Here is a 9,886-nt window from a genome sequence, read left to right on the forward strand (position 1 = left end):
CCACTCCAAACCAACTGAGTCAAAATGTCTGGAGAAAGGCTGCCTGGGAAGTGCTATTTTATTAGTATTATTATTTGAGACAGTCTCACTCTGTCACCCAGGCTGCAGTGCAGTGGCATGATGGGAACTCATTGCAGCCTCAACCTCCCGGGCTCAAGCAGTCCTCCTACCTCAGCTTCCTGAGTAGCTGGGACTACAGGTGTGGGCCACCATGCCCAGCTAATTTTATTTTTTTGTGTTTTTTTGTAGAGATGGGGTCTTGCTATGTTGCCTAATCGTCTCACCTTGGCCTCTCAAAGTGCTGGAAGTACAGGCGTGAGCCACCACGCCCAGCCTGGGGAAGTGCTATTGGTTAAAAAAAAATTCCCTAAGTGAGTTTAATCTGTAACCGGGGTTGAGAAATACTGCTGTGGAAAAATAACTAAGCTTTACTAAGTGGTGCCATTAGGAATGCTAAGTGGGGGAGTGATTAGTGATAACCGAGCCGGAACCCAGGCAGGTGTAGGGAGAGATGGCATCTGAGAATGACTAAGAGGGGGCCAAACATGGGGTGGGGCAGAAGATTCCAGACCAAGGGACCAGGGAGGTTAGAGAATGGCCTGCGGAGGGGCAGAAAGTGACGTTTCTGCCATTGAAGAACTCTAGGGGCTGGGTGCAGTGGCTCACACTTGTAATCCCAGCACTTTGGGAGGCCAAGGCAGGTGGATCACCTGAGGTCAGGAGTTCAAGACCAGCCTGGGCAACATGGCGAAACCCCATCTCTACCAAAAATACAAAAATTAGCCAGGTGTGGTGGTGGGTGCCTGTAATCCCAGCTACTGGGGAGGCTGAGGCAGTAAAATCACTTGAACCTGGGGGTCAGAGGTTGTGATGAGCCTGGATCACACCATTGCACTCCAGCCTGGGAGACGGAGCAAGACCCTGTCTCAAAGGAAAAAAAAAAAAAAAAAAAAGAACTTTAGGACCAATCCCTGGGGAGATGGTCACCTAGGTAATTCTGGACCTGTGGGGATAGCGACTGAAGACACGTGTGCACAGCATGGGCCAGTAACTTGGAGGAGCAAGGCTGTTTGCCCTCGGAGGCCCAGCTTGAGTCACCACCCTCAGGTAATAGCTCTTTCTAGCACCAAAATGACACTCATTAATAATTCACACTTCCTGGTTCTGTGTCTACAGCAGTTGGCTCTGGCTTTGGGTTTGTCATTTCAGGTCTCGGTGCAACAATTCTTCTGAACTGTCTTTGCAGGAAGACCTCATTTTTTTGCCCCCACTCCCTTATTTCCCCCCAGTTTTTTTCACTTAGGGGCCAATGAATCCAAGATTTCTTTGGAAAGAAAGGTGGAGGGAGGAATGCAGGATAGGTGTTTATGAGTCTGTGTGTAGGTGAGGGTGTGGCCAGGGTGTCACCTGAAGCACCCATTTGCAAACCCACAATTTCAAGTCTTGGGGTTGGCCTCCTAGCTGTTGCCTCCTCCTCATTCATCCCATCCCTCCAGCACTGTGAAGCAGCTGTGCTCGCAGTGGGTCAGGGGTAGGTCCTGGTTATTTGAGGCGAAGACAATTTCATTCCCCTTGGACACTTACTAGTTTGGTGATGTGCACTGACCTCGGGCCTAAGCCAATCATCTCAGGGACTCTGCTACTTGCGTGACAGACTGGGCAGGAGTGGGCACGTGACTTAGCTGGCACGTCACTGTGAAGTCTCTCCTTCTGCTTAGATGTGAAGGAAGAAACTTGCAGGCCCTGGAGTTCTGGCAGTCGTTTCACTTTTGAATGCACTGGGAGGGGCACCAACACATTACATTATCATTTATTCAGTCTATGGTAGATTATTTCCAAAGATAATCCCCCATAAATTCTCTGTATGATAATCCCTCATAAGGATTAGGAGTTCTCATAATCCCTCATAAGGATCCCTGTCTGTACATGGGATCCTCCCATCAAGGAGTGAAATCTACGTTCTTATCCCTTGAATCTAGGCTGGCCTTGGAATTTATATTCACCAGTAGAACATGGTAGAAGTCATATTCTTGGACTTCCAAACCCGGGCCTTACAGGCTGTATAGCGTCCACATTGACCCTCCTGAGCTGCCATGTAAAAAACTCAGGCTAGACCACTGAATGATGAGAAGCCAGAGAGAGACAGCAAGGCCGGCCTGCCCCCAGTGTTCTATCACCCTAGCTGAGACCCCAGCTGTGTGACTAGACCACAGGAAGCTTCCAGCCCCAGCTGACCCCCAGAAGAATGCAGCTGCAGGACAATCCCAGCCAACAACAGGTGGAGCAGAAGCACCATCGCACCAATTCCGCAGGGTCCTGAGAAATGGTAACCCACTCACTGCCGTTTCAGCTCCTGCACTCGCGGTCACTCGTGACACAGCCAAAAATAACTGACTCACAGGGTGTCTTAGTCTGCTCAGGCTGCTGTAACAAAATCCTTTAGATGGCTATTCATACACACAGAAGTTTGCTTCCCACAGTTCTGAAGGCTGAGAAATCCAAGATCAAGGTCCCAGCAGATCTGGCATCTGAGAAAAGTTCTCTGCTTCATAGAAGGCCTCTTCTAAGCATCTTCATATGGCAGAAAGGGCAAGCAGGCTCCCAAAAACCTCAGTTTTAAAGGGCACTAATCCCATTCCTAACCACCTCCCAAGGCCCCCACCTCTTAATATTTGGGATTAGGTATCAGGTATTTGGGATTAGGTTTCCACGTGTGAATTTGGGAGGACACCTTCAGACCATAGCACAGGGTGAGTTGGACTTTGTTTTTTAATAGCCCTGATTTTTTTTTCTTAGATTTACCGTGAAGATGCTGACATGTGTTAGAAACAGAAAATCCAGCTCATGTGGTTTAAACGGAGACGTCTCTCATAGCAGGAAATTCCAGGTGAGGGCAGCAGGATTTTGGTGAATTGCCTGGTTGTGCCACCAAGGACTCCTGCTCTTCTCATCTTCCCAGGCGGCCACCCCAGGGTGAAGATGCTCTTCCGGCCACCTTCTCTTATAAGTGCAAAGGGCTGCGGAGCACCAGGCATTGCATCCAGACAGGGAATGCAACATTCACCAGGGAAAAAGGAGCATTTCCTCTTTATGTTCCTGTAGGAGTGAGAAAACCTTTGCCAGACAACCCCCAGCAGGCTTCCTGTTGGGACTCATTGACTTGAGCTTGTTTGAAGCCAATTGTTGGAAAGAGAAATGGAGTTACCAAGATTTTCTCAAGAGACAGAGTTTACCCTTAGCCACACAGAGTGGATACCTGAACCAGCAAGGATAGAGAGGGCATGGCTGCTGCATTGTCAACCAACAGTATTCACAACAGAATGAAAAACAATTCACATTTACTACTGAATAAAGCAGACACTCCTGACAGACAGGCAGCCTTGATCTAGTGCCTTATACAACCTCTGATTGCGCCTCGACCCCAATCCCACAGTCACGGTTTACAAGGTAGAAGCTTAGTCAAAATCCGGCTTCAGCAGTCAGGGTTCTTGCAGGAAACTGAAGGTGTTCTTGGGAGGGGATTTGGAAGCGAGTTTGATGAAGGACTCTTTGTTGCGGTGTGGTCATGGTTCAAGGATCCTTCAAAGGGTGCTGCTATTTAGGGACCAGCAACAATGGCAGACCGACAACATGTCTCACCCTAAGAGGCTTGGGGGCGGGGAGAAGTTCTGTTCGTAGAGCCTAGAGGAGTTGTGCAATGGAAAGGGCACCCAGGAAGAATCGTAGCCACAGAGTGAAACCAACACTGGTGGGTGTGGGGCCAGGCCAGGAAGGAGAGGGGAAGAGGCCCCTGCCTCCCTCCTACCCGGTCTGCAGCAGGTTGTCCCTGTGGGTGAAGATCCACTGAGGGGGACCGCCAGCTTCCTGAGCACAGGGCAGGCCAGAGCAGGACAGGCTGGGATGGAAAATGAAGAATCAGTGCTTTAGCCGACAACAAATGGGAGCCGTTTACTGTTTAGTCACTATGATTAGTGTTCACTAGTACTCATTTCTCTTCGTCTAAAAAGTGGCCAACACCATCTCTTTTCCACAAGCACTCGGGAGAACATTCATATTCAATTGCCTTCCTAAGACCCAGACGGGGCAGCGCTCTCCACAGGCCACCAAAAGGTGTTGCCTGTTTGGTTTCATCAGTGATTATCTGTGGCAGCAAGACAGGAAGTTGGAAATCAAGTACCTCAATTAAGTCAAGGCTGACCGTGGAATTAGAGAACAAGTGTTTGTTACCCCGGCCAGGTCACCCTAGGGAAAACAGGCATTCTCCGGGATTGAAATGGTGGTGTTTGTGTGGTAAATAGTTCTCAGTCCAGTTCAAAGCCAGCAGCATTAAGGACACGCCACCGCCACCGGGAGCTGGAGACCAGGCGAAGCTGAGCTCCTCTGTGGTTCACCAACCCCTCAGGCCGCCTAAGTGTCTTCTGCTGTCGCAGCTTTGGGGACAGAGGGGTTTCGGAAACAGGGGCCTCTTGTCTGCACCCTCCCCTCCCACTGACAGGCTGGCAGCCCAGGGCAGCCACCTGAGGAGCGTCCCTGTGTCTCTCCATCTGCAGAGCAGGAAAAGCCTGCGGGTCGGTGGCGCCACGCTGGGGCGAGACCCAGCTTCGGCTCAGGAGATCTCCCACCCAGCCGGACTCCCGCTCTCTGCCCGCGGCCCCCTCCCACACTCCCACCTCGCCCCGCGATCTCACTGCCCCATCGAGGCTTCCGGGCGGAGGAGAAAAGTTTTCCGGCAGGAACCCGGGAAGGAAGCCCTGGGACCCTGGCTGAAACTCCGGGTTTCCCCAGTGCCGAGTCCCTTCCCCGCCGCGCCCAGCGCCTGCGCCCCGGGAGGCGGAAGCAACAGGGGGGTTCCTCCCCGCGGCCTCTGACCTCTGCCCTCTGCCCTCTGCCCCCAGGGTCTGGGGCCCGGGCGGAGGCGCGAGGGGGCAGGGCCGGCGCGCGGGTGCGAGCGCGGGTGTGGGCGCGGGGCCGGCGGGGGCTGCGGCCGCGGGGCGCATGCTCACTTGCGCCGGTGACGTGCGCGCCCGGAGCAGGGGCAGGAGCCAGCGGGGCCCGGAGGCTCCAGAGGGCGGCGGGCAGGGGAGGAGGAGACTCGGGAGGAGCAGAGCGCAGGCTCCGCCGCGGCCGGGGTGCTCCAGCCGAGCCCAACCGAGCGGGCGGACCGACGGGGAGAGAGAAGGCGCCAGAGCGCGCGCGCGCGGCCCCGAGCAGCAGCCTTGCCGCCAGTGGAGCAGCTGCCGACGCGCGGGGCCGCGGACCCAGCATTCGCCGGCCGGGCCGGGCATGAGCGCGGAGGGGCCGCGGCCGCCCCCTGCACCGCCCGGCGCGCCGAGGCCGTGACCGGAGCGGGGGGCGCGGCCGCACTAGTACCCCGGAGCCCATGGGCGCGCCGAGCCGGGCGCGGGGGCGCTGAACGGCGGAGCGGGAGCGGCCGGAGGAGCCATGGACTGCAGCCTCGTGCGGACGCTCGTGCACAGATACGTGAGTGCTCCCGGCGCGGGCTGGGGGACCCGGGGACCAGACAGACGCGGGCCGGCCCCGCAGCCCGGACCCTGTGGCCGGTCCAGCCCCGGGGTCCCGGGAGGTCTCCGATGTCTGGGACTCGGACCGCCCCCGGGGACGAGCGGGATGCTGGGGAGGGGCCTCGGAGTTGACACCCTGGGGCTTCCGACGGGGTCTAGGTGGGCACAGCGCGGGGCCCCAGCCCCGGGCGGCCACCTGCTCCCTGGCCGCGGCCGCCTGGCGCCCCCTTCCCGCCCGCAGCGCCCTGGGGGTCCCTCGGAGAGGCTGGCTGGGGTTCGAGCTGTCCCGGCGGACCGGGCGCCCGGAGGGAGCCAACTTCGACCCCGCCGGGGCCCGGGTCTGGGGAGGAACCTTCAGATGCGGCTTCCGCGCAGCCGTGTCTGTAAGATTAAGGGATTGGGAGGAAGCGTTACACTTCTGCAGAAAAAGGTAGCAATTGTGTTTGTTCTTTAACACCCCTGGGGGATTCAGAAGCGGAGTTTGGAATCTTTTTATTTTTTACCTTAAAGTAACCAATTAGATCAGAAGTCCGGGGTCTTCTTGGGTTCCTCTGGAATTTGCCCCTTCAGTGATAAGCAAGTGAAGAGCTCAGGAGGGAAGACTCGGAAGGGGAAAAGTTGATTTTGTTTTACACCAGAGGAGGGGAAACCGGAATCCCTGGCGTTAGGTGTAAAAAGGGGTGTGTGGCCGGGCGCGGTGGCTCACGCCTGTAATCCCAGCACTTTTGGAGGCCGAGGCGGGCGGATCACGAGGTCAGGAGTTTGAGACCAGCCGGACCGACATGGTGAAACCCCGTCTCTGCTAAAAAATACGAAAATTAGCCGGGCGTGGTGGTAGGCGCCTGGGATCCCAGCTACTCAGGAGGCTGAGGCAGGAGAATCGCTTGAACCCGGGAGGCGGTGGTTGCAATGAGCCGAGATCGAGCCACTGCACTCCAACCTGGGTGACAGAGCGAGACTCTGTATCAAAAAAAAAAAAAAAAAAGGGTGTGTGTGTGTGTGTGTGTGTGTAGGAGAGGAAGAAAACTGTCCCAAGCACAGCGTTTCCTGCCACTGTCTTGCACAAGAGGCTTCATTGTTCCATAGAGGCTGGCGGTCACTGGTCAATCACAGGTTCGAGAAGTCGCATGCACCGGGTTTGATACTAGAGAGGGCAGTATTATGGGAACTTTGTTCTTTCCCGGCATAGGAATTACCTCAGGCAGCCTTTCATATTTATGAGCCTTCTTTAAATAGGAGACCTTGGCCAAAGATAGATAGGTTTCTTTTCAGTGGGGGATGCCAGATCAATGCTTTCCCCCGGATTTATTTATTAACCAAAAACCTCGGAGAGTCAAGGAGACTTGAGTGCACCTTACATCGTTTCCTGATCTCGGGGAAGCCTTAGGAAGGTCAGCCTGACTTACTTAAGTGGAGAGAACTCACCCCTGGTGATTCTGATGATTCCGATGCTAGATCTTGAAAGGCTTGGCTCCAGGAGCCTTGTGTTACTCCCTCACTGGTGCTCGAGCCCCCAGTTCAAATCCTAATGTGAGTGGTAAACCTGTGTTTCACTGTGGTAACGTTATAGAAGACCCAATCACAGTGACTATAGGTAACCTGCAGTGTAAGAGAAATGCTTTATTGGGCGGAAGCTTCTGTTCTCAGTTGTGTCGCTCAGAAGTGTGGGTCCCTAGACACCTTATTTTCCTGCTTTGTTTCCTTCGAGCGAAATGGAAGAGGGAAGGGACTAACACTCACTTTGCCCGCGGTGTTCCCAGTTCATTCCGTTCCCTTCTAACACTCAGTGTTAAAAAGGAGGGTCACGTTGTGGGGCTAATGTGCAGCCTCTTTCCATAGAAATGAGAGATGGATGGGCCAGCCCGGCTCACCCTTTGGAGAATCCCCCCTTCCCAGCCGGTTTCTGACCCCTTCATCTTGGGAGGGGGACAGACAGACGTCCAATTTTGATGCTTGACTCCCTTTCTCCAGGCCTTCAGCTGTTTTCTGTTATATAGATCTATATAAGTGTTTGCGTAGCTTGCATTTTTAATTCCCCTTTGCTGTATTATTACGCTTATGGCATCACATTTTCTTTTAATCTAAGCGGTAAATATTCTTTAGTGAACTTTTCCAGCATATACATTATTGGATAACGTCTCGGGAATACGAGTTGTGGGATAATATTATTTCTGTTTTTCTCATTCCACCTGTGTTTTTTGCAGTGTATTCATCTGGCTACCTCACCCATATTTACACACAGAGCCATTCATCTCTATCATTTTAAGTTCATGTCTATGGTATTAAACTAATTTGACTTTTTCCAGAAACAGTCATGATCTGTTTTCTTGTAATTGCGTTATCGTCCACTATGTAGGACTAAATTATATTTCCTTTTGCTACAGAAAAAAGAGTCTGGGATTGAATACTCATATTTCCTCATGGTTTCCTTATGTGACTTACTTTATTAAAAAGGATAGATAAATAGACCCTGTTCCTTCTTGGTGTTCACATAGTCAGAATTCCTGGGACAAAGAAAGCTTTCCAGCTCCTTCTGATGTGTGAGGGTGGCTAAAAGATAAAGAAGTCCTTGGAAAACATTGCTGTAGGCATTTTATTGTGGATTAACCCTGGAGAGATAGCAGAGGCAAATGAGTGAGAGAACAGATGAAGGTTAGGCCAGGGTAGCCAGGTACTCCACACTGTGTGTTACTGGTGGTTTGGGTGTTTGGATGGACCGGAGCCATGCAGAGATACTTTGTATTTGTAAATGGTGCCGTGTTTGTATACCATGAGGAGTGCTTGTGCTTATGGGGTAGTGTATGCTCCCTGGGGTGATGTATGTGCTCTGGGGGGCGTGGGGAAAAGCGTGTGTGCCGTGGGGTAGTGTATGTGCTGTGGGGTAGTGTATGCTCCCTAGGGTGATGTATGTGCTGTCGGGGGCGTGAGGTGGTGTATGCTCTCTGGGGTGATGTATGAGCTGTGGGTACGGGGAGAGGGGACGGGGTGGAGAGTGTGTGTGCCGTGGGGTGGTGTATGTGCTGTGGGAGCCATGGGGTAGCGTGTGTGCCGTGGACTGGCGTATGTGTTGTGGAGTAGTGTATGTGCTATGGGGTAGCATATGAGCCATGGGGTAGTGCATGTGCCATGAGGTAGTTTGACCTCCATGACGTAACACTTTAAAAGCACTTCTAGGCCAGGCGCGGTGGCTCATGCCTGTAATCCCAGCACTTTGGGAGGCCGAGGTGGGTGGATCGCCTGACATCAGGAGTTCAAGACCAACCTGGCCAACATGGTGAAACCCTGTCTCTACTAAAAATACAAAAATTAGCCGGGCATGGTGGCGGGTGCCTGTAATCCCAGCTACTCAGAAGGCTGAGGCAGGAGAATTGCTTGAGCACAGAAGGCGGAGGTTGCAGTGAGCTGAGATCGCACCATTGCACTCCAGCCTGGGCAACAAGAGCGAAACTCGTCTCAAAATAAATAAGAGTATTTTTAACAGCATGGATGGAGAGCGAGTTCCATTTCCTCTTCAGAGCTGTAAGGTGAGCAACACCGATTCAGGTAGTTTAAGTTCCGAGAGGAACCAGGGCAGCCTCAGCGGGTAGCTTAGATACTTTTCTTAGATACTCTCTGGGCAGTGGCCTGAATGCTGAGTGGGAGCCTCCCTGCCCTTCTTAGCCATGTGGCCTTGGGCAAGTGGCTTAATTCCTTCTGCCTCAGTTTTCTCCTCTGAGGGTAAGAGCAGTACTCATTTCATAGCTATTGTGAGGGTTGAATGAGGTAATCTGGGTGGAGAGCCAAGAATGGGGAAGCTCTCAGTCCGTTTGTCATGCCTGGCTGTTAACATAGCTGAGTCCCTGGGTAGGGTTGGCTGGGGAGAGAGCAAACCTATGGGCTGCCAGTGCTGCTGCTCAGCTACCTGTGGGTCCCGGCCTGCTGGCGTCGTGGGTCACAGGAGAGGTAAACCGGGCACCCTGACACTGAGCATGGTGTGGAGCTCAGGTAGGATTCAGAAAGCTTTACACGCTGTGGTAAAACAGCCCTTGATCTCTGTAAGGCTGAGCATCCCGGCGTGGGCAGGATGCTTCCCTCCCTCTTCCCTTCCATGCCTCTATGTAGGGCATTTGATTTTTCTTCAGAGTTCTGTGGGTCAAGAACTCAGTCTTGTTATGGTCCTATAATCTTCTTTCAATGATTCAGCCCAGATATTCCTTGTTAGTTTTGTTCTTTTGCCTGTCAGAGCTTCTGCTTGTTTCTACCTTACCATTCTTGCTTCTTAACATTCTAAGATAGAAAACATTGAAGGATCTGAAGGATTTCCTTGCTGACAGTAGATAATTACTTTCAACACAAACTGTTATAAGTTTTTTTCTAAGAGAAAA

General features: G+C 52.9%; 1 protein-coding gene and 1 long non-coding RNA gene across 14 annotated transcripts in view, besides 4 other annotated features; one reads left to right on the top strand and one right to left on the bottom strand.

The window, feature by feature from the left end:
• Positions 1-1,794: 1,794 nt before the first annotated feature.
• On the bottom strand, positions 1,795-4,841 carry LOC102725228 (uncharacterized). Of its 2 annotated transcripts, none has more exons than NR_187633.1 (2): positions 4,689-4,841; positions 1,795-3,895 (listed from the first exon to the last, which is right to left on the bottom strand). It is a non-coding gene; the product is annotated as an uncharacterized LOC102725228 (long non-coding RNA). The 2 variants fall into 2 exon arrangements; NR_187632.1 differs by having other exon boundaries at positions 4,671-4,841.
• Positions 3,901-4,418: an enhancer, noted in NCBI's record as "NANOG-H3K27ac-H3K4me1 hESC enhancer chr13:113343189-113343706 (GRCh37/hg19 assembly coordinates)". NCBI's record gives its function as "activates a minimal SCP1, AML or CMV promoter by ChIP-STARR-seq in naive and primed H9 embryonic stem cells {active_cell/tissue: H9 hESC(naive and primed)}" and the evidence as "EXISTENCE:reporter gene assay evidence [ECO:0000049][PMID:30033119]".
• Positions 4,667-5,596: a silencer, noted in NCBI's record as "silent region_5534". NCBI's record gives its function as "represses an Ori minimal core promoter by ATAC-STARR-seq in GM12878 lymphoblastoid cells {active_cell/tissue: GM12878}" and the evidence as "EXISTENCE:reporter gene assay evidence [ECO:0000049][PMID:35858748]".
• ATP11A (ATPase phospholipid transporting 11A) overlaps positions 5,064-9,886 on the top strand; it is a 197,131-nt gene continuing 192,308 nt past the window's right edge. For all 12 annotated transcript variants that reach the window (NM_015205.3, XM_011537480.3, NM_001405663.1 and 9 more), the window contains exon 1: positions 5,064-5,481. In NM_015205.3, the coding sequence (NP_056020.2) occupies positions 5,443-5,481 (39 nt within the window). In that variant the 5' untranslated portion in view covers positions 5,064-5,442. The remainder of the gene's footprint in view (positions 5,482-9,886) is intronic.
• Positions 5,617-5,856: a silencer, noted in NCBI's record as "silent region_5535". NCBI's record gives its function as "represses an Ori minimal core promoter by ATAC-STARR-seq in GM12878 lymphoblastoid cells {active_cell/tissue: GM12878}" and the evidence as "EXISTENCE:reporter gene assay evidence [ECO:0000049][PMID:35858748]".
• Positions 6,717-7,218: an enhancer, noted in NCBI's record as "NANOG hESC enhancer chr13:113346005-113346506 (GRCh37/hg19 assembly coordinates)". NCBI's record gives its function as "activates a minimal SCP1, AML or CMV promoter by ChIP-STARR-seq in naive H9 embryonic stem cells {active_cell/tissue: H9 hESC(naive)}" and the evidence as "EXISTENCE:reporter gene assay evidence [ECO:0000049][PMID:30033119]".

Source organism: Homo sapiens, chromosome 13 (genome assembly GCF_000001405.40).
Source record: "Homo sapiens chromosome 13, GRCh38.p14 Primary Assembly".
NCBI lineage: Eukaryota > Metazoa > Chordata > Mammalia > Primates > Hominidae > Homo > Homo sapiens.